General features: G+C 45.9%; 3 annotated features.

Moving 5' to 3' along the window:
• Window positions 5,798-6,796: an enhancer, noted in NCBI's record as "NANOG-H3K27ac-H3K4me1 hESC enhancer chrX:23824588-23825586 (GRCh37/hg19 assembly coordinates)". NCBI's record gives its function as "activates a minimal SCP1, AML or CMV promoter by ChIP-STARR-seq in primed H9 embryonic stem cells {active_cell/tissue: H9 hESC(primed)}" and the evidence as "EXISTENCE:reporter gene assay evidence [ECO:0000049][PMID:30033119]".
• Window positions 5,798-7,603: a biological region, named in NCBI's record as "P300/CBP strongly-dependent group 1 enhancer GRCh37_chrX:23825194-23826393".
• Window positions 6,404-7,603: an enhancer, noted in NCBI's record as "P300/CBP strongly-dependent group 1 enhancer chrX:23825194-23826393 (GRCh37/hg19 assembly coordinates)". NCBI's record gives its function as "activates an origin of replication core promoter dependent on BRD2, BRD4, P300/CBP, MED14 and CDK7 cofactors, with strong dependence on P300/CBP, by STARR-seq in HCT116 cells {active_cell/tissue: HCT116}" and the evidence as "EXISTENCE:reporter gene assay evidence [ECO:0000049][PMID:35650434]".

The following is a 23,942-nucleotide window of genomic DNA, read 5'->3' on the forward strand; positions in this document are numbered from 1 at the left end:
CCGCCTCAGCCTCCCAAATAGCTGGGATTACAGGTGCCTGCCACCACACCCAGCTAATTTTTTGTATTTTTAGTAGAGACGGGGGTTTCACCATGTTGGCCAGGCTGGTCTCGAACTCCAGACCTCAGGTGATCCTCCCGCCTCCGCCTCCCAAAGCGCTGGGATTACAGGTGTGAACCACCGTGCCCGACCCCTCAGCTCTCAGCTCAATGTCGCTTCCTGCAATGTGTCCATTCTACACAGGGAAATGGCGGAAGGCAGCAGGTAAAAAAAATCACAGCCTTTCCTCATACTGCTTGGCCTTTTTTTGTTTTTTAAATTCTGAAGAAAGCCATCTCCAAGCACTTCCACCTACATTTCATTGGCTGCAATGTGTCACCTGGCAACCCTTAGCTGTAAGGGAGTCTGGGAATTCTAGTATTTTGCTTTCCAGTTTCTCTAGTAGAAAAGTGTGTTTCTCTAGTAAAAAGTGTTTCTCATGTGTGTAAAGTGAGCAAAGTGATAAAGCATATATTCTAAAAAGTAATTTGGGGCTGGGTGCAGCGGCTCTTCCCTGTAATCCTAGCACTTTGGGAGGTCAAGGTGAGAGGGCTGCTTGAGGCCAGGAATTTGAGACTAGTCTGGGCAACATAGTAAGACTCTGTCTCTACAAAAAATTAAGAAAATAGCTGGGCATGGTGGCACATGCCTGTAGTCCTAGCTACTTGGGAGGCTGAGGCAGGAAGATTCCTTGCACCCAGGAGTTTGAGGCTACTATTGTTGCCCCACTGCACTCCAACCTGGGTGACAGAGCAAGACCCTGTCTTTAAAAAAACTAAATAAATAAATGAAAATAAAAATAAAAAGTAGGCCAGGTGCAGCAGCGCATGCCTGTAATCCCAGCACTTTGGGTGGCCAAGGTGGGAGGATCGCTTGAGCCCAGGAGTTCGAGACCAGCTTTGGCAACATGGCAAGACCCCGTCTCAATTTAAAATTTTAAAAACCAATAAAACTAAAAAGTAATTTGGAAGACTGTGAGGTAAACCAAATAATCAACTAACAAAGTAGTTACTTAAAAAAACAAAACAAGCTGGGCGTGGTGGCTCATGCCTCTAATCCCAGCACTTTGGGAGGCTGAGGCAGGCGGATCACGAGGTCAAGAGTTCGAGACCAGCCTGGCCAATATGGTGAAGCCTCGTCTCTACTAAAAATACAAAAATTAGCTGGGCATGGTGGCGCACACGTGTAGTCCCAGCTACTCGGGAGGCTGAGGCAGAAGAATCGCTTGAACCCGAGAGGTGGAGGTTGCAGTGAGCCGAGATCGTGCCACTGTGCTCCAGCCTGGGCGACAGAGCGAGACACCATCTCAAAAATAAAAATAAAAATAAATAAAATTAAAAAACAAAACAAGGCTAGGCTCAGTGGCTCACGCCAGTAATCCCAGCACTTTGGGTGGTCAAAGCAGGAGGATTGCTTGAGGCCAGGAGTTCAAGACCAGCCTGCACAACACAGTGGGACCCTGTCTCTACAAAAATAAATAAATAAATAAATATAAATATAAATATAAATAAAAACAAGCCCTCCAAAAACCTTTGACAGTGTGTAAAGCTATGCAATTTTCTAATCGTGTTAAAGTAAAAGCAGTTCACAAACAATTCAGACTATACAGAAATAAAAAGTAGTATATATGGCCTAACATTACTTTGTTCTTAAAATTTTCCAGTGACTTTTCTTCCCACTTCCAACTCCAACTGCCCTATTCCAGAATGTCAAATGATTGTGACTTGCAGGTTTTCTAATCAGCACGTAAGTCGGAAATTCTAAAAATACATTTTAAATTGTGGATCACACCATTACATGACTGTCTATAGAGCCATTTAATTTTGAAGGCAAGTTAATTTTAAAAATAGTTACACACAAATGTTCAGTTGATTACGCTTAAGACAGTTTTATTCTGGTGATTCAGCATGATTTTTTTCAACAAATTAGGTACTTTGTCTGCTTTGTGGAACATTGGCAGTTTCATTTCCTGTTAAGGAAGCTATCATCAGAACTCAGATAAACCTTTGCCTTTACTATTTGAGTACTGAAAATAAACAAAGAATATAAAACTCACATATAGGCTGGGTGCGGTGGCTCACACGTGTAATCCCAGCACTTTGGGAGGCCAAGGCAGGCGGATCACTTGAGGCCAGGAGTTTGAGACCAGTCCGGCCAACATGGTAAAACCCCATCTCTACTAAAAATATAAAAATTAGCCAGGCATGGTGGCACATACTTGTAATCCCACTTACTTGGGAGGCTGAGGCAGGGGAATCACTTGAGCCCAGGAGGCAGAAGTAGCAGTGAGCCAAAATCATGCCACTGCACTCCAGCCTGGGTGACAGAGCGAGAGTCCGTCTCAAAAAATAAAATAAAATAAAAAATAAAACACACGTATATACTTGGGGACAGAAACATCAAATATGTTTTCTGGATGATTTAAAGGTTTAGAAGGGGATTATTTATTCTAACTGAAAAAAAAATCTTTTAATATGAATTATTTATATGGAAGACTTCTTTTTGAAGCTGTTGTGGCTGATGCTGTTGGATTCATGTCTAACTTCTTTCATTTTATAAAACAGAATCATATCATCATCACAATCTGTACACTCCCACCTATACTCTTAGGGGGCAGTCTGGGGTGGTTCCTAGGGTAACAGGCCCAATTATCCCAGTATACATTGCATACAGTACCCTAACAACTTTTAGGAAAGGTTTTCATTATTAGTGCTTTGTTTTAGAAAAAGTCCAAAACAAGCCCTAATGAAGAGTCCAAAGGATAAGGAAGATGAAGAGAAAGAGAAAGCACTGAAAAGTAGAATCACATGATTTGCAAGTAGGACAAGGAAAGCGAGCAGGAAAAAAAACAGAGTTGTCAGAACCTGTGGGGAAAATGTGCTGAACAGCAAGGGCTGAGAAATGAGCAACATATTAAACTTTTTTTTTTTTTTTTTTTTTTTGAGATGGAGTCTCACTGCTGTTGCCCAGGCTGGAGTGCAGTGCCGACATCTCAGCTTACTGCAACCTCCATCTCTTGGGTTCAAGTGAAGCTCCTGCCTCAGCCTTCTGAGTAGCTGAGATTACAGGCACCCGCCACCATGCCCGGCTAATTTTTTGTATTTTTAGTAGAGACGGTTTCACCATGTTGGCCAGGAACTCCTGACGTCAGGTGATCCACCCGCCTCGGCCTCCCAAAGTGCCCCCATTTCCTTTCATTCGTTTGGAGAACTCCTCTACTGCTTGCATGGTTACCTGGTACAATGATCAGTCATGATGCCCTGCCCCTCTCCAAGACCATCCCAAAGAGTTGGCTCAGGGCTGGGCAAACTGGGCCAAGCCAGGATTTCATGGCTAACACTATTTCGCAATAGTTCGCAAGCTGGAGGCTGTAGCCTGGGACTGTTGGCTGTCATCTTCCTTGCCTTGAGGGTGCGCCTGCTACAAAATGCAGCTGAAGGGTGGCAGAATACTCTATGCCAAAATATGCCACCATGACGTAAGGATTACTTCAAGCTAAAGGCACTTGAAAAACAGCAGATACAAGAAGGGCATTCTAATCTCCCCTTTGCTTCCTGCAAACAGGAGAGAGAAACTCCCATGTGAACATGCCCTCCCTGTACCAGGAAAAAAGTAACATTCTTCCCCGGGGAGTCACAGCTCTGAGAATCCTGTACAAACATACTTTGTGAAACTAATTCTTACCTTCCTTTAACAAACTCCCCACATAATTTAGTTACTTTTCCACAACTGCCTCTCTTTGTTCAACCTAATACAAAAGCCTGTTGGTTTTGTCACTTCTTTGGGTCTTCATTTCCTTCCCAGGGCTCCTGAGTCACATAAAACTTACATTAAATTAGTACGCTTTTCTCCTGTTAATATACTTTATGTCAATTTAATTCTCAGGCTCAGCCAGGACACTAAGAGAAGAGAGTTTTGACTCTCCTGCACATTCAAGACCTGTGGGAATCTGAGCCAAGCATTGACATAACAGCGCAGCAGCAGTTTATGATCTCTCTCTTCCTTTCCTTTCCTTTTTCCTTTCCCCTTTCCTTTTCTTTCTTTCTCTCTTTTTCTTTCTTTCTTTCCTTCTTTCTCTTTCTCTCTCTCTCTCCTTCCTTCCTTCCTTCTTTCCTTCCTTCCTCTTTCCTTTCTCCCTCCCTCCCTCCTTTCTTTTTTTTTTTGATACAGAGTTTCGCTCTTGTTGCCCAGGATGGAGTGCAGTTGGCAATCTTGGCTCACTGCAATCTTTGCCTCCTGGGTTCAAGCGATTCTCCTGCCTCAGCCTCCTGAGTAGCTGGGATTACAGGCACCCGCCACCATGCCCAGCCAATTTTCGTATTTTTAGTAGAGACAGGGTCTCACCATGTTGGCCAGGCTGGTCTTGAACTCCTGACCTCGTGTGATTCACCTGCCTTGGCCTCCCAAAGTGCTGGGATTACAGGCGTGAGCTACTGTGCTCGGCCCTTTCTTTCTTTTTTTTTGACAGGGTCTCGCTCTGTTGCCCAGGCTGGAGGGCAGTGGTGTGATATCGGCTTACTGCAACCTCGACCTCTTGGGCTCAAATGATCCTCCCACCTCAGCCTCCCAAGTAGCTGCAACTGCAGGTGCGCACCACTATGCCCGGCTAATTTTTTTTATTTTTTGTAGAGACAGGGTCTCCCTGTGTTGCCCAGGCTGGTCTTGAACTCCTGACTTCAAGTGATCTGCCCACCTAGGTCCCCCAAAGTGCTGGGACTATAGGTGTGAGCCACCAAGCCTGACCGATTTCTTTTTTCGGGAATTCCTATTCCGTTCTCAGTCCTTGAACTCCCAGCGCAAGACTCCACCCCAGGTCACAGGGCTCAGTCCCACTCAGAACTGTACCTCTTACTTATAGACTGACCCGTATTGCTTAATAGATCACATGGCGTAGCTTTCCTCCCTGCCTGAGTCCTAAACGGCTTGCCAGCATGTCATGTTATGCTTTTTTCTGCCTCCTACCTTTCACAGCACCCGCAGGCCTGGCATGTAGTAGAGTACCAGATAAGACTTGGTAAATTTGATCCTTTTTTTTTTGTCTTTTTTCTGAGACAGATTCTTGCTCTGTCGCCCAGGCTGGAGTGCAGTGGTGCAATCTCAGCTCAATGCAACCTCCACCTCCCGGGTTCAAGCAATTCTTCTGCCTCAGCCTCCTGAGTAGCTAGGATTACAGGTGTGCGCCACCACGCCTGGCTAATTTTTGTATTTTTAGTAGAGACGGGGGTTTCACCGTTTTGGCCAGGCTGGTCTTGAACTCCTGACTTCGTGATGCACCTGCCTCGGCCTCCCAAAGTGCTGGGGATTACAGGCTTGAGCCACCGTGCCCAGCCTAAATTTGATTTTTTTTTTTTTGAGACGGAGTCTCCCTCTGTCGCCCAGGCTGGAGTGCAGTGTCACGATCTCGGCTCACTGCAAGCTCCGCCTCCCGGGTTCACGCCATTTTCCTGCCTCAGCCTCCCGAGTAGCTGGGAATACAGGCGCCCGCCACCACACCCTGCTAATTTTTTGTATTTTTAGTAGAGACGGGGTTTCACCGTGTTAGCCAGATGGTCTCGATCTGCCTACCTTGGCTTCCCAAAGTGCTGGGATTACAGGCGTGAGCCACCACGCCTGGCCAATTTGATTCTTTTCTTATGACAGAAACTATAATACAGCGAGAATGTTTTTCTTTTTTTCTTTTTCTTTTTTTTTTTTCTTTTTTTGTTTTTTGAGATGGAGTCTTGCTCTGTCACCAGTCTGGAGTGCAGTGGCACGATCTCGGCTCACTGCAAGTTCCGCCTCCAGGGGTCAAGTGATTCTCCTGCCTCAGCCCCCCGAGTAGCTGGGATTACAAGCACCTGCCACCACGTTTTTAGTAGAGACGGGGTTTCACAATGTTGGCCAGGATGGTCTCCATCTCCTGACCTCGTGATCCACCCACCTCGGGCTCCCAAAGTGCTGGGATTACAGGCATGAGCCACCGCGCCTGGCTGAGAATGTTTTTCTAATACGTGATTAAATAGGCGGCTATCGAGGAACAACATTTATTGCACATAACTTACATTATCTTGTTTAATCTGTACAAGCAATTTATGAGGTAGATGTGTAAGTTTATGACCTTGGAATGTTGAACCGGTTGTAAACAGATGAAAACAAGTACCTCTGACTCCAAATTCTGTGTAAGAAAACGACTGCCCATGGCCAGGCACAGTGGCTCAAGCCTGTAATCCCAGCACTTTGGGAGGCCGAGGTGGGCGGATCACCTGAGCTCAGGAGTTCGAGACCAGCCTGGCCAACATGGCGAAACCCCGTCTCTACTGAAAATACAAACATTAGTCAAGCGTGGTGGCAGATGCCTGTAATCCCAGCTACTTGGGAGGCTGAGGCAGAAGAATTGCTTGAACCCGGGAGGGGGAGCTTGCAATGAGCCGAGATCGCGCCACTGCACTCCAGCCTGGACGGCAGAGCAAGACCGTCTCCTCCCAAAAAAAAGAAAAAGAAAAGAAAACGACTGCCCATAAAGACTCCTCTTCACCCCCTCCCACCAGCTAATAAGCAAACGTGTACCACCATATCATTATATCCAGAATCTAAGGGGTAAAGGGCATTCAAGGACAAGGCCTTACATGCTAAACAAACTGTGACAAATTCTCCACTTGAGTCTTGTCAAATAGATTTCCCTAGCAGCAAGATATGTGACTCAGTGTAGGAAAAACTAACCACTGGTGCAGAACACACATTTGCTTAGAAAGCCTTAGGCCAACCTTAATTACCCTGCCTAAGAAAGAGAGGCCTCCACAGGGGGCGGGGAGGAGGGAAAACAAGCTAGTTGTTGGACTGGAAGCTTCCAGAACCACAGCTGTAGCCCTTAACAGGATAGCTGACCTGCGCCTTTCATTTGCTTTGATTTCATGTATGAGTTTAATTCCAAAGTTGCAAATAACAGGAAATGAACCACAGTGTTAGCCAGTTAACATCAAAGGTAGAAGGAGACCGGCAGGCGGACTGTTAAAAGAATTAAAAGAGTAAACATTCCGGTGAGTCATTAGCTTTCAATACTCACTAGAACCACTAGAAGCAAAACTGCGTGGGAACCTACAAGTGGACACTCCAAGTAAGAGCCTACCTGGAGGCCGGGCACGGTGGCTCACTGCTGTAATCCCAGCACCTTGAGAAGCCGAGGCAGGCGGATCACGAGGTCAGGAGTTCAAGACCAGCCTGGCCAGGTGTGGTGGCTCGTGCCTGTAGTCCCAGCTACTCAGGAGGCTGAGGCAGGAGGATCGCTTGCACCTGGGTGGCAGAGGTTGCAGTGAGCCAAGATCGCACCACTTGCACTCCAGCCTGAGTGACAGAGCGAGACTCCATCTCAAAAAAAAAAAAAAAAAAAAAGCCTACCTGGAGTTCTTTGAAACATGCAAAGTTCTGGCCGGGCGCAGTGGCTTACGCCTGTCATCCTGTCATCCCAGCACTTTGGGAGGTCGAGTCACTGCTTGAGGCCAGGAGTTCGAGACCAGCCTGGCCAAAATGGTGAAACGTTGTCTCTACTAAAAATACAAAAATTAGCTGGGCCTGGTGGTGCATGCTTGCAATCCCAGGTACTGGGAGGCTGAGACAGGAGAATCGCTTGAACCCAGGAGGCAGGGGGTTGCAGTGAGCCGAGATCACACCACTGCACTCCAGCCTGGGTGACAGAGTGAGGCTGTGTCTCAAGAAACAAAACAAAAAAAGAGATTGGACCGTGTGCGTGTGTGTTTGTGTGTGTGTGTGTGTGTGTTTTGAGACAGAGTCTCGCTCTGTCACCAGGCTGGACTGCAGTGGCACGATCTCAGCTCACTGCAACCTCTGCCTCCCAGGTTCAAGCAAATCTCCTGCCTCAGCCTCCTGAGTAGCTGGGACTACAGGCGCCCGCCACCATGCCCAGCTAATTTTTGTATTTTTAGTAGAGACTGGGTTTCACCATGTTGGCCAGGATGGTCTCGATCTCCTGACCTCATGATCTGCCCACCTTGGCCTCCCAAAGTGCTGGGATTACAGGTGTGAGCCACCGCGCCCGGCCATGTGTGTGTATTTTAACAAACAATCAGAGTACTTTGGTGTAAAGGTATAGAACAGCAGAGCTCGATCAAGAAGTTTCCTTCTTTTTTTTTTTTTTTTTTTTTTGAGTTGGAGTCTCGCTCTGTCGCCCAGGCTGGAGTGCAATGGCGCGATCTCGGCTCACTGCAACCTCCACCTCCCGGGTTCAAGCAATTCTCCTGCCTCAGCCTCCCGAGTAGCTGGGATTACAGGCGCCCGCCACCACGCTTAGCTAATTTTTGTATTTTTAGTAGAGACGGGGTTTTGCCATATTGGCCAGGCTGGTCTCTTGGCCAGGCTGGTCTCGAACTCTTGACCTTGTTATCCGCCCGCCTCGGCCTCCCAAAGTGCTGTGATTACAGGCATGAGCCACTGTGCCCAGCTAGAAGTTTCCTTCTTAACAGCACCATCTGTCTGAACAAAAGTATACATAATATTAGCCATAAAAATATGTAATGGTGGGCATGCAGTAGCTTTGTTTTTTGTCTAGTTTTATTTCACCTAATAATTAAAGAGAGCTCCAAAGGAGAAAAAAGTAGATTTCTAACTCCTCTTTATCTCTGAGAATTCATTCTAGTAGAGGAAATGAAGTTTGATGAGACGAGACCAAAAACAGTACAAAGAAGTGAAAAATCATAGATTGAAAATGAAGCTAAATTTTGAAGAGTCTGATCTCAAAATGAAAGGCCCACTACTGGAAGGTTGCTATAATTTCATTTTGTAATTTCAATTTGATATAAATTCTGCTCCACCCATTTTTTTCTCATTGTGTGACAAAATATTGGTGTTTCCTTGACATACACTTCTTTTTCTTTTTTCTTTTTTTTAGACAGAGTCTCACTCTGTTGCCCAGGCTGGAGTGCAGTTGCATGATCTTTGCTCACTGAAACCTCAGCCTCCTGGGTTCAAGCGATTCTCCTGACTCAGCCTCCCAAGTAGCTGGGACTACAGGCACGCACCACCACGCCCGGCTAATTTTTGCATTTTTAGTAGAGACAGGGTTTCACCATGTTGGTCAGGCTGGTCTCAAACTCCTGACCTCAGGTGATCCGCATGCCTCGGCCTCCCAAAGTGCTGGGATTACAGGCATGACCCACGGTGCCTGGCCTGACGTACACTTCTTAATCAACAAACAGATTAAAACTTAGGTATCTGAGTTAAAAACCAAAAGATGAAAACGGTATAGTGGTTCCTCAAAAAATTAAAAATAGAACTACCTGCTGGGTGTGGTGGCTCACACCTGTAATTCCAACACCTTGGAAGGCCAAGGTGGGAGGATTGCTTGAGGTCAGGGATTCAAGACCAGCCTAGGCAACATAGTGGGACTCCATCTTCATAAAAAAAAAATTAAACAATTAGCCAGGTGTGGTGGTGCACAACTGTGGTCGCAGCTACTCAGGAGGCTAAGGTGGGAGGATCACTTGAGCCCAGGAGTTCAATGCTACAGTGATCCAAGATTGCATCACTGAACTCCAACCTGGGCAACAGAGTGAGACCCTGTGTCAAAATAATAAAATAGAATTACCATCTGATCCAGCAATCCCACTTCTGGGTATATAGCCAAAAGAACTGAAAGCAGGATCTCGAAGAGATATTTGCACACCTATGGTTTTCATGGCAGCATTATTCACAACAGCCAAGAGGTAGAACCAACCCAAATGTCCATTGATGGATGAATGGATAAACAAAATGTGGTATTGTCCATACAATGGAATATTATTCTGCCTTAAAAAGGAAATCCTAGCTAGGCATGGTGGCGGCTCACACCTGTAATCCCAACACTTTGGGAGGCCAAGGTAGGAGGATTGCTTTAGCCCAGGAGTTCGAGACTAGCCTGAGCAACATGGAGAGACCCCCATGTCTACAAAAAGTCAAAAAATAAAAAAGGAAATCCTGTCACATGCTAAATCATGGATGAACCTTGAGGACATTATGCTAAGTGAAATAAGTTCATCACAAAAACACAAATGCTGTCTGATTCCACTTATATGAGGTGTCTAGAGTAGACAAATTTGTAGAGACAGAGTTTAGAATAGTGGTCGCCAGGAGTTGGAGGGAGGGAGAAATGGGGAGTTATTTAATAGGTACGGAGTTTCAGTTTTGCGAGATGAAAAAGTTCTGGAGATCTGTCTCACAATTTGCATATAGTTAACCCTACTGAAATATATACCTTAAAATGGTTAAGATGGTACATTTTATGTGTTTTTTACCACACACAAAAAAAATCTTGGTTTCAAACATCAGAAACAGAATTTAGGTAACTCGAGGGAAGAAAATTTGGGAAGCCTATCTCACCACTCACAGAATCTCTGGGAAGACTAAAGATCCAAACTCAGCCCGTAGAACAAGAAAGGCTGAGAGTCAAAAACTGGGATGTTCCCTTGAAGTCTGAGAGATTTGCATGTTCCCTTGACTGGGAAGCAGCCAGTAATAAATCTCAGGTTTGCAAATATGGTGAGAAAAAAATTAGAAAAGAGGAAGCCTGAGTTGAAAGAAGTCAAAGGGTTTAAGCAGCAGGCGCACCCGCTCTAAATTAGGGACGGGAAGAGACGTGCAATCGCAGATTATGAAACAATGAAAGGCAGAGGACGCAATCGTACTCCTAAAAGATCTTCCATTGTGACATAAGTATTTTGATCTAAGGCTGAGTCTGTTCTCATTGTATTAAAAAAAAAAAGTCCCTCTTTGGCGGGGGCTAAAAACAAAATCTGATTCATATTGAATTTCTTCCCAAAGGTTACACAAAGGGAAGTAATAATGCCGACTGTGAGAATTGAAGTGAAAATCAGATCTCAGCCCAACCAGAACAACCAATGGGAACAATAGACAATAACTGTGACTCTAATGAAATTCATTTCTCAGCTGAAGGCACTGAGCCGATGTTTCTCTTGCTCTATTCTTAGTACTAAATCGAACTTTTTCCCCTTCAGGGAAACAGCTCCCTTCAGATTTAAACAATAGATATTCACCCTGCATTCCATATTTGATGGGTTCTCAGTGTTGGCTAAAATGTCATAACCTCCTCTCTTCCCCCAACAAGATATGACCCACATTTCCTCTCTTCGAGGGGTGTCACAGCTGTTTTAAGGACATGCGTGTGTAGAGTTGGAGTAAGCGGCCTCAAGAGCAGTACTGATAGCATGGGCAGGCCCAAATTTGGGAAATGGGTAAAACCTGTAAAAATAGTCTTGCAGGTTTTAACGCAATTGCAGGCTAAAATGAAAATTTATGACAACGGAAGGCAGAGATGACACCTATACCTATATTCCTTTGTATAGTACTTTATTTTCCTTTTTTTTTTGGAGACGGAGTCTCTATAGCGCAGGCTGGAGTGCAGTGGCACAATCTCTGCTCACTACAACCTCTGCCTCCTGGGTTCAAGCCATTCTCCTGCCTCAGCCTCTCGAGTAGCTGGGATTATAGGCACACACCACCATGCCCAGCTAATTTTTTTTTTTTTTGCATTTTTAGTAGAGATGGGGTTTCACCATGTTGGCCAGACTGGTCTTGAACTCCTGACCTCAAGTGATTTGCCCACCTCAGCCTCCCAAAGTGCTGGGATTACAGGCGTGAGCCACTGCGCCCGGCCAGTAATTTCTATCTTATGGAAAATAACTGATTAAACAGGACCTATGGTTGCAAGTGAGAGAAAGCAACTCAAACTAAGCAAAAATAAATAAATAAATAAATAAAGCCAGGCACAGTGGCTCAAGCCTGCAATCCCAGTGCTTTGGGAGGCCAAGGCAGACAGATCACGAGGTCAGGAGTTTGAGACCAGCCTGACCAACATGGTGAAACCCCATCTCTACTAAAAATACAAAAATTAGCTGGGCGTGGTGGTGCATGCCTGTAATCCCAGCTACTCAGGAGGCTGAGGCAGGAGAATCACTTGAACCTAGGAGGCGGAGGTTGCAGTGAGCCAACATCGCACCACGGCACTCCAGCCTGGGCAACAAGAACGAAACTCTGTCTCAGAAAAAAAAAAAGGAATGTGTTTGGTCCAAACAACTGGAAAGTCGTCGGATCTGACTTTAGTCATGACTAGATCCAAGAGTAAATAGTCACCAGGCTCTTGTCATTCCATCCCTTGATTATGGAGGAGGAATACAGTCAAACTCATCCAAAGCACATAGAATATATTTCTCAGTGGAAAGAGGGCTTATCAGATGAAGGGGAAATGAGTCCTGGGAAGACAAAAACAGCAAATATCCACCAGACTGTGAGATTTTGAAGATTAAAAACCATGTCAGGCTGGGCAAGGTGGCTCATGCCTATAATCCTAGCACTTTGGGAGGCCGAGGTGGGCGGATCACCTGAAGTTGGGAGTTTGAGACCAGCCTGGCCAACATGGAGAAACTTGTCTCTACTAAAAATACAAAATTAGCTGGGTGTGGTGGCACATGCTTGTAATCCCAGCTACTCTGAAGGCTGAGACAGGAGAATCGCTTGAACCCGGGAGGTGGAGTTTACCGTGAGCCAAGATCACACCATTGCACTCCAGCCTGGGCAACAATAGCGAAACTGTCTCAAAAAAAAAAAAAAAAAAGCTATGTCTTTTTTTTTTTTTTTTTTTTTTGAGATGGCGTCTTGCTCTGTTGCCCAGGCTGGAGTGCAATGGTGCGATCTCAGCTCACTACAACCTTCTCAGCTAATTTTTGCATTTTTTTGTAGAGACGGGGTTTCACCATGTTGGCCAGGCTGGTCTTGAACTCCTGACCTCTAGTGATCTGCCCACCTTGGCCTCCCAAAGTGCTGGGATTACAAGCATGAGCCACCGCACTCGGCTAAAAACCATGTCTTAACGTTTCATCTCCAGTTCTATGCCTGCAATTTACTGACATTCAGTACGTGTTTGCTGAATGAATAGGACAAGTATATCTGGTATCTTTATACTGAACACATCAAAACAAGCTCATTCCCTAAATGCAAAGGGAATGAGGGAATGAACTGGATTTCCTAGTGACCATGCCCACACTGGCTTTTAGGCTGTTGTGGTATAGACTTTAGCTGGCTACCATATCTCTACTCTCTAATTCTCTCTCAAACTAAAAGAATCCCAATTTTTCACTTAGCATATTGCCTCCCAGCTGAAAGACTACATTTTTCAGACTCCATTGCAGCCAGGTTAAGTTACAGTCAATGAGTAAGCTGAAGTATTGGGTGGAACTTTGGGGAAGTCTTGGAAGGGAGGTGGCACATACTCCTTCCTCTCTTCTTCTGTTCTGCTTCTTGGAACTATGATGTGATGGCTGGAGCTCCAGCAATCATTTTAGACCTTAAAGATGAAGACTATACCCCAGGAATGGCAATGTGAAAAGCTGAAACAAACCTGGGTCCCTTATGTCCCTGGAGCTGTCATACCAGTCCTGGACTGCTTACGTATAAACTTCTTTTATTTGAGAAATAAATTCTGTATTTTTGCCATGAATTTTAAGGTCTCTATTACTCACATCTGAACCCATTCCAAACGGATACAGCTGTGGTCTCCAAATATACAGAACTAAGGGAGAGGTCTCAGACCCCACAGTCCCTCTCCCCTTCCCCTCCTCAAGGCATGAAACCCAGTCTATGAAGAGTACTAGTCCTCTACCTCCCAAAGGCATCCCAGCTTGGACTGCTGTCATGATCTCTTCTTGTGTAACTGAAGGCATCCTCCCAGTTCCTGACTCCTCTTCCCTGCTTCTAGGAGCCAGTGCAGTGCCATGGTGCTTCCTAAAGACTCCCCTTGCCGGATGGGCGTGGTGGCTCACGCCCGTAATCCCAGCACTTTGGGAGGCCGAGGCGGGCGGATCACCTGAGCTCAGGGGTTCGAGACTAGACTGGCCAACATGGTGAAACCTCGTCTCTACTAAAAATACAAAAATTAGCCGGGCATAGTGGCACACACTTGTAATCCCAGCTATTTGGGAGGCTGAGGCAGGACAATCGCTCGAACCCTGGAGGCAGAGGTTGCAGTGAGCCAAGATCACGCCACTGCACTCCAGCCTGGGCAACAGTGCGAGTCTGTCTCAAAACAACAACAAAAAAAACAAAACTAAACTAAAAAAAAAAACAAAAAACAAGCACCTATTACGCTCAGATTCTGTGAGTCAGCAATTCCATCACGGCACAGCAGCAGGGACAGGTTCTCACTGCTTATAACATCTCAGCTGGAAGATTTGAAGGCTGGGGGCTGTCATCACTAGAAGGCTCACATCGTCACAGAGCTGCTGAGTGATGCTGCCTGTCAGTGGGTACCTGCACCATTCCTCTCCATGGGGCCTGCATTTCCTCACAGAATGGTGGTTGGGTTCTGAGGGTGACAATGACGAGAGACAACCGGGTGGAAGGTTATGACCTAACCTCAGAAGTCATGCAGTATCACTTTGGCTGCATCCAGGTCATTGTGGGGGAGGTCACTAAGGTCAGCCCATATTCTTTTTTTTTGTTTCTTGAGACAGAGTTTCACTCTGTCGCCCAGACTGGAGTGCAGTGGCGTGATCTTGGCTCACTGCAACCTCCACCTCCCGAGTTCAAGCGATTCTCATGCTTCAGCCTCCCGAGTAGCTGGGATTACAGGCGCATGCCACCACATCTGGCTAATTTTTGTATTTTTAGTAGAAACGGGTTTTTACCATGTTGGCCAGGCTGGTCTTGAACTCCTGACCTCAGGTGATCCACCCGTCTCAGTTTTCCAGAGTACTAGGATTACAGGCGTGAGCCACTGCGCCCGGCCAAGTCAGCCCATATTCAAAGGGAGGAAAATTAGACTCTACCTTTTGGTGGGAGGAATGGCAAGGTTTTACAAGAATATGTGGAACTAGAAATATTGCTGTGGCCAGCAGGTTTGGTGGTATATGCCTCAGGCTGAAACCACCTGGGCGTGTACTGGGACTCCCTCTGGGATAATGGCTTTGTCCATGGGTACAAATCACCTATAGGAGTATGAAAGACTGGCCGCCACTCCAGTCCTTGCGATTACTAATTTTCAGTAGATGATCAGGTGGTAATGACCACATGGCTGTCTTTCATTTAGGACTGACCCATTCAGACCTAGTAAACCCCTCGGGGGGAAGAGAGGGAGCCAGAGAGAGAGAGAGAGAATATGAAACCGGACTGCCTACTAATTTGGGTATGTGTGTTTTTGACCAATTAATTTCATTACAGCAAAGTGACACTGGTACCTTAAGCTGGTCAAGAGGTCATACCTACTACAATTTTAATATACTAACTTGTGTGTCTGCCTGTCTCACAACCCAGATTAGAAACTCTTTTGAGGACAGGACCCATCTTATCTGGCTTCCCCAAAGGATTTCACGACATGGCTCCTTGGAGCAAGGGATTTAAATTGCTCTGGCATGTGGCCTTAGATACGGTACTTAATTGTGCCAGACTTTAGTGTCTTCATCTCAGATTAACAGGATTCAATGAAATTATTATGTCCTGAATCTAGAAGGATGCTCAATACATGTTAGTTCCTTTCTTTCCCGTACACGGATTCTCCCCACCCCACCCTTCCCCATTTACCTTATTTATTTCCCATGAGCCCTTCCTCTTCCCAACTCCTCAGGATCGTAATGCTCCAGGACTTCCCTCAGCCCTGCAGGTCTGCTTCCCACAGGGAGTTTCACTGCTTCAACTGCAGGTAGGAGCTGGGAAGGCAGGAAGGAGCCAGAGTCCTCCTGACTGAAAGGAACGGGGAGCTGGGCTGCCCTGGGGTTAGGGGTGAGGTGAGTTGCTACAGCAAGTTAAATCCCTTTCATTTATTGATGAAACAAATATTGATTGCCTCTCACCAGGTCCCATGCACTGTGCAAAAAGCTGGGGACACAGCAGTGAGGAGGAACCAGGTCTCTTAATCCTTGTAGACTTTTGGAATTTATGTTGCTCATTAGCGTTTTTGTTTGTTTGTTTGTTTTTTTGAGACGGGGTCTCGCTCTGCCACCGAGGCTGGAGTGCAATGGCATGATCTTGGCTCACTACAACCTCTGCCTCCCAGGTTCAAGCGATTCTCCCGCCTTAGCCTCCTGAGTAGCTGGGATTACAGATGTGCGCCACCACACCCAGCTACTTTTTGTATTTTTAGTAGAGACGGGGTTTCACCTTGTTGGCCAGGCTGGTCTTGAACTCCTGACCTCATGTGATCCGCCCACCTCGGCCTCCCAAAATGCTAGGATTACAGGAGTGAGCCACCGTGCCCGGCCCTGCTCATTAGTGTATTGTATGTGTGGGCAGGTAGGGGGAAGATGGGGTAGATAAAAGACTAACAAATAAAATATAATAGAGTGATAGTGCAACAAGGAAAACAAAACTACCTTCTCCTGGTTGGTCAGGACACACCCAAACAAAGGTCAATTTAGGTCAGACCTGGATGACAAGGAGCTAGCCTCACAAAGTTGTGGGGGCAGTCCTGTGCACTGCGAGATGCTCAGCAGCATCTCTGGCCTCTACCCACAAGATGCCAGTAGCATGCCCCTCCTAAGGTGACACAACCCAAAATGCCTAGGGGACATGATGGCCTGACTGAGAACCACTGGGTTAAGGCAAGGGCATTCCCAGCAGGAGAAACCAGCAAGTGCAAGGAAGGAAGAAGGCCCCAGCCTGCCTGGCCTCACCAGCTCCCGCTGCCCTGCCTGCTAGGTGAATCTGTCAACTGTGGCAAAGTAGCAACTGATGCTCAGAGTGGAGAGGGGTAATAAACCAGGAAGTGAGACTGGCCAACTGGGGGTGAATACTTCCTGGTTCAACACTTCAGCTGTGGGCTGCTCATCTTCCCCACTCACAGTCTGAGACTGAGGCCAGACAGTCTCTGAATACATCAGGGCACACAGTCAAGTAGGTACCATGGGTGAGTCTGGGCTATGTATTGCTTCCCTGAAGAGGACTCCTTGCTGCCCAGGGAACTCAGAGAAGGGCCAGGCAGTCACTTTTCTATCATTTGAGACCAGATTTTTTCTTTTTTTTTGAGACACAATCTTGTTCTGTTGCCCAGGCTGCAGTGCAGTGGCATGATCTCTGCTCACTGCAACCATCTGCCTCCCAGGTTCAAGCGATTCTCCTGCCTCAGCCTCCCGAGTAGCTGGAACTACAGGCGTGCACCAGCATGCCTGGCTAATCTTTTTATAATTTTAGTAGAGATGGGGCTTCACCATGTTGGCCAGGCTGGTCTCCAACTCCTGACCTCAGATGATCCACCTGCCTTGACCTCCCAAAGTGCTGGGATTACAGGCGTGAGCCACTGCACCTGGCCGAGACCAGATTTTTAGTTGCTTTTAGCAGCTGCCTTAGTTACTGGAAAAAGTAAATCCAAACAACTCTAACTCAAATTTATATCCTGTCAATTCATTATCTCCATCATTGGTTTCCTAGAAATAGGTAATGAAATTAAATAAGCCATGAAGAGATAAACAATTGAGCCAGTACCACCTGAACTCTCTAAGTATATTTTGATTATACCTTGAGGATGTTCTCATTTAGAGACTATATGCAACACTATATGGTACAGAAAAGGGTGTTGGGGCAGAGTTCAGATAACAGGGGTGCTGCTCGGGCAACGCAGGACAGTCTTTTTTTCATTATTTTATTATTGTAAAAAACAAAATTTACCATCTTAGCTTTTTTTTTTTTTGAGATGGAGTTTTGCCACCACATCCCGCCCATAATTTGTCTTGTGACTGGCTTAATTTCACTTAGCAACAAGTCCTCCTTTTTCATCCATATTGTAGCATGTGACAAGATTTCCTTCCTTTTTAAGACCAAATAACATTCCACTGTATACACATATCACGTGTTTATCCATTTATCTGTCAATGGACATTTGGGTTGCTTCCACCTCATTGCTAATGTGAACAGTACTGCTATGAACAGGGGTGTGCAAATACGCAGTTTTAAAAAACATCTTTGGCTGGGCGCAGTGACTCATGCCTGTAATCCCAACACTTTGGGAGGCCGAGGCAGGCAGATCATGAGGTCGAGAGATTGAGACCATCCCGGCCAACGTGGTGAAAACCCGTCTCTACTAAAAATACAAAAATTAGCTGGGCATGGTGGCGCACACCTGTAGTCCCAGCTACTCGGGAGGCTGAGGCAGGAGAATCACTTGCACCCAGGAGGCGGAGGTTGCAGTGAGCTGAGATCGCACCACTGCACTCCAGCCTGGCGACAGAGCAAGACTCCGTCTCAAAAAACAACAAAAAACCATCTTTATTGAGATATAATTCACATATCATAATTCACCCATTTAAAGTGTACAATTCAATAATTTTCAACAGAATTGTGCAACCTCACTCCAAAAAGAAACACCATTAGAAGTCACTTCCCACCCCTCCATGCCAGTTTATGTGTCAACTTGACTACAGTCCCCAGGTGATCAAATACTAATCTAGGAGCTTTGGTGAAGGTTATCCTGTAGATGTGATAAAAATCCATAATGAGGCTGGGCGTTGTGGCTCACACCTGTATTCCCAGCACTTTGGGAGGCCGAGGCAGGTGGATCACTTGAGGTCAGGAGTTCAAGACCAGCCTGGCCAACATGGTGAAACCCCGTGTCTCCTAAAATACAAAAATTAGCCGGGCGTCGTGGCACATGCCTGTAATCCCAGCTACTCGGGAGGCTGAGGCAGGAGAATCGCTTGAACCTGGGAGGCGGAGGGTGCAGTGAGCCGAGATTGGGCCACTGCACCCCAGCCTGGGTGGCAGAGGGAGACTCCATCTCAAAAAAATAATTTAAAAAATACAAAAATTAGCCGGGTGTGGTGGCACGCACCTGTAGTTCCAGCTATAGGTGAGGTTACGTCTCAAAAAAAAAAAAAAAAGTCCATAATCAGTTGACTTCTATATAAGTGGGCCTGATTCAATCAGGTGAAAGACCTTACGAGCTGAACTGAGGTTTGCCTGAAGAAGAAATTCCATCTATGGACCACAGCTTCCACTCATGCCTGAAAACTCCAGCTGCCCTTTCTGCTTACCAGCCCTATGGATTTCAGACTAGCCTGGCCAGCCCCCACAGTCGGCTAAGCCAACTCCTTGCAATAAACCTCTCAAAATACATCTCCTACGTGTTCTGTTTCTCTAGTTGAACCCTGATTGATATGCTCCGCCCTCCCCCAATCATTGGAGTCTTAAGCAACTATGAATCTACTTTCTGTTTCTTTGTACTTGTCTATTCCAGACATTCCAGATAAATGGAATCATACACTATGTGCTCTTTTGTGATGGGCTTCTTTCACTTTAGCATAATGTTTTCAAGTGTCATTGACGTGGCATGGATCAGTACTTTTTTCTGAGACAGGGTTTTGCTCTGTCACCCAAGCTGGAGTGCAGTGGTGCAATCATAGCTCACTGTAACCTTGAACTCCTGGGTTCAAGTGCTCCTACTGTTTCAGCCTCCTGACTGGCTAGGACTACAGGCATGTGCCACCACACCCAGCTAATTGTAATTTTGTAGAGGTGAGGTCTCACTATGTTGCCCAGGCTAGTTTTGAACTCCTGGCCTCAAGTGATCCTCCTGTCTTAACTCCCAAAGTGTTGGGTACAGGCGTGAGACACCACACTTGACCAGTACTTCGTTCTTTTTTACGGCTGAATAATATTCCATTGTATGGAAATACATTTTGTTTATACATTTATCAGTTGATGGACATTTGATTGTTTCTGTTGTGACTATGATAAATAATGCTGCTATGGCTATCTATGTACAAGCTTTTGTGTGGACATGTGTTTTCATTTTTCTTGGGTATATACTGCAGTAGAGAAGAAATGCTGGGTCACATGTTTAGCATTTTGTGGAACTGCCAAACTGTTTTCTCCACATCCTTGTCAACACCTGTTCTTATCTTTTTTATCCTAGTGGGTATGAAATGACACCTTGTGGTTTTCATGCGCATTTTTCTGATGACTAATGATGCTGAACAGCTTTTCATGGGTTTATTGGCCATTTGTATATCTTCTTTTTAAAAATGTCTGTCAGGCTGGGCACGGTGGCTCATGTCTGTAATCCCAGCACTTTGGGAGGCCGAGGTGGGCAGACTGCCTGAGCTCAGGAGTTCGCAACCAGCCTGGGCAACACGGTGAAACCCCACCTCTGCTGAAATACAAAAAATTAGCCAGGCATGGCGGTGTGCGCTAGTAGTCCCAGCTACTCAAGAGGCTGAGGCAGAACTGCTTAAACCCAGGAGGCAGAGGTTGCAGTGAGCTGAGATCGTGCTACTGCACTCCAGCCTGGGTGACAGAGCAAGACTCCATCTCAAAAAAAAAAAAAAAGAGTCTGTTCAAATCCTTTGTTTTATTTTTTGAGAGGGAGTCTCACTCTGTCGCCCAGGCTGGAGTACAGTGGCGTAATCTCGACTCACTGCAACCTCCGCCTCCTGGGTTCAAGTGATTCTCCTGCCTCAGCCTCCCGAGTAGCTGAGAGTACAGGCGTATGCCACCACACCCGGCTAATTTTTTTTTTGAGACAGTGTTTCGCTCTGTTGCCCAGGCTGGAGTGCAGTGGCACGATCTCAGCTCACTGCAACCTTCACCTCCCAGGGATTCTACTGCCTCAGTCTCCCCAATAACTGGGATTACAGGCGTGTGCCACCACGTTTGGCTAATTTTTGCATTTTTTGTAGAACAGGGTTTCACCATGTTGGTCAGGCTGGTCTTGAACTCCTGACCTCAAATGATCCACCCGCCTTGGCCTCCCAAAGTGCTGGGATTACAGGCGTGAACCACCACGCCTGGCCAATTTTTGTATTTTTAGTAGAGACGGGGTTTCACCATGTTGGCCAGGCTGGTCTTGAACTCCTGACCTCAGATGATCCACCCGCCTTGGCCTCCCAAAGTGCTGGGATTACAGGCTTGTGCCACCGCGCCTGGCCCTCTGCTCAGTTTTAATTGGGTTGTTTTCTTATTGTTGAGTTGTAAAAGTTCTTTAAATATTCTGTATATGCGAGCCTCTTATCAGATCTATGTACAAATATTTTCCTGTACTCCATGGGTTTTTTTCTTTATTACTTTTTTAATAGAAATGAGGTCTTGCTATGTTTCCCAGGTGGGTCTCGAACTCCTGGGCTCAAGCAATCCTCCCACCTCGGCCTCCCAAAGTGCTGGGATTACAGGTGTGAGCCACTGCATTCAGCTTGTTTTTTTAAAGAAAGGGTTTTATTGTCACCCAGGCTCATGGCCCACTGCAGCCTCAACCTCCTGGGCTCAAGCAATCCTCCATCAGCCTCCTGAGTAGCTGAGACTACAGGTGTGTGCTACCACGCCTGGCTAATTTTGATATTTTTTTGGTAGAGACAGGGTCTTGCTAAGCTGCCCAGGGTGGTTTCAAACTCCTGGGCTCAAGTGATCCACCTGCCTTGGCCTCCCTAAGTGCTGGGATTACAGGCATGAGCTACCACACCCAACTGCCTTTTTATTTTCTTGATGGTATAATTTATAGCACAAAAGTTTCTACATTCTGAGGTAGTCCAATTTATCTGTTTTGTCACCCGTGCTTTTGGTGTTGTATCTAAAAAACCACTGCCTAACCCAAGATCACGATTTACTCCTTTTCCAAGATTTATTCCTATGCTGTCTTCTGAAAGTCTAACAGATTTAGTTACGACATTTAGGTGTATGATTCCACACAGACTTCTAAAAGTCTCACCTATTTGGTAGTGCTTTCCCAGGGAAATATTTATGGCACCACTAAGAAACAAACAATTAAACTATTGTGTTTAAAACAAAATGTGCAATGTGTGCTCTTTAGCATTCTGATCTAGGCTGAGAACAATATTTGAAATGAGCCAGTGCTCTCTCTGTAGGACAAATAAATGCTTTCATAAAGACGTCACTTTTGAATGGAGTGCAGTTTATGACCTATTTACTTATGAACCAGCCCAAACCGCTTGCCTCCATAGCGTGAGGGAAGGAAGAAAGACTCTACTGTGAGAATCAGGAAAAAAACCCAATCACTAATTTGGTCTAAACAAGGGAGCTTAGAGTTTTCTGTGGCTTTCAAAAACTACTTTCTCTTTGCTTGAAGAAGATGAATAAAAACAGTTTTTTTAATGTCTTGTGACCTGGAAATATTTAATGTAAATATAATGGTCCTTTTATTTATGTTCTTCTAAAGCTGATGGCAAGATGGCATGACATAAAACAAACACCATCTTAACATGCTGTTTTCGGTGGTGGGTCCTCAAGATTTGCTTAAAATGACTCAAAGGACTCAACATACATGTTCTCATGCCTTAGGTTTATCCTAACAAAGGATTCATGACAGGACCAGCAAAGGAAAAAGACACAGCAGAGTCTGGAGAAATCCACACACAGGCTTCCCATGCTTTCTCCCTCCCAACCCGGGAGGGCACACGTTGAGCATGCTCCCTTCTCCAGCAGCAAAACTGAAGCCACACGTGTGCAATGCTTCTGCCCAGAGAAGCCTATCAGAGATTCACCGCCAAAGCCTTTTTTTGTTTTGTTTTGAGACAGAATCTCGCTCTGTCACCCAGGCTGAAGTGCAGTGGCATGATCACGGCTCACTACAGCCTCAAACTCCTGGGCTCAAGTGATTCTCCTGCCTTGGCCTCCTGAGTAGCTGAGACTGCAGGCGCGTGCCACCACACCTGGCTAATTTTTGTGTTTTTAGTAGAGATGGGGTTTCACCATGTTGGTCAGGCTGGTCTCAAACTCCTGGCCTCAAGTGATCCACCTGCCTCGGAAAGTGCTGGGACTACAGGCATGAGCTACCTTGCCCAGCCGGCACCAAAGGGTTTTATTGGAGTCTGGTCATGTAGGCATCTTCTGCCTAGCAATGACCAAAATTCACCAGATTCACAGAAGGAAGCCAGGCATTTGCCATAACTCACAACGTTTGCACAGTCTCTGTGACCTGATACAACAGAGCTTGGTGCCCTAGACTTAATGAGCATAGGGAACTTTCGGGAAGCCCAGTTTCCGAAAGGCCAACCCTGCAAGCAGGTCTTTTTGAAGTCAGCAGACTCAGGCTTGCTATGGTAACTCTCTCCTGTGTAGAGGTCACGTCATTCATGCAAGCTTGAATTTTATGTTTACTTAAGGAAACACTCACCTTAATGTTTATTAATATTCTGAATTTGTAATTATTTCAGTGAGCTGAAGTTTATTCCTATCTATGAATTTTAAAAAGTAAGTATATTACTATAGTAAATACTGTCTAATGGCATGTTTAAGCTGCTAAGGAGCTAATTAAAGGACAGTGGCATAACTTATGAAAATGACATTATTAATTTTTTTTTGAGATGGAGTTTCACTCTTGTTGCCCGGGCTGGAGTGCAATGGCGCAATCTCAACTCACTGCAACCTCCACCTCCTGGGTTCAAGCAATTCTCCTGCCTCAGACTCCCAAGTAGCTGGGATTACAAGCATGTGCCACCACACCCGGCTAATTTTGTATTTTTAGTAGAGATGGGGTTTCACCATGTTGGTCAGGCTGGTCTCAAACTCCTGACCTCAGGTGACCCACCTGTCTCAGCCTCCCAAAATGCTGGGATTACAGGTGTGAACCACTGCGCCTGGCCAATGAAAATGATATTATTAATTCTACATTAAACATATCTATTAAAGCAGGACATGCAGGATCTCGACTGGCACTACTCTTAGCCAGATGTTCAAATTCCTATTCATGGCCAGGCATAGGGGCTCACGCCTATAATCCCAGCACTTTGGGAGGCTGAGACGGGCAGATCAACTGAGTTTGGGATTTCGAGACCAGCCTGGCCAACTTAGTGAAACCCTGTCTCTACTAAAAATACAAAAAATTAGCTGGGTGATGGTGCATGCCTGTAATCCCAGCTACTTGGGAGGCTGAGGCAGGAGAATTGCTTGAACCTGGGAGGCGGAGGTTGCAGTGAGCTGAGATTGCA

The sequence above is a fragment of the Homo sapiens genome, chromosome X, assembly GCF_000001405.40.
Source record: "Homo sapiens chromosome X, GRCh38.p14 Primary Assembly".
NCBI classification, from domain to species: Eukaryota; Metazoa; Chordata; class Mammalia; order Primates; family Hominidae; genus Homo; species Homo sapiens.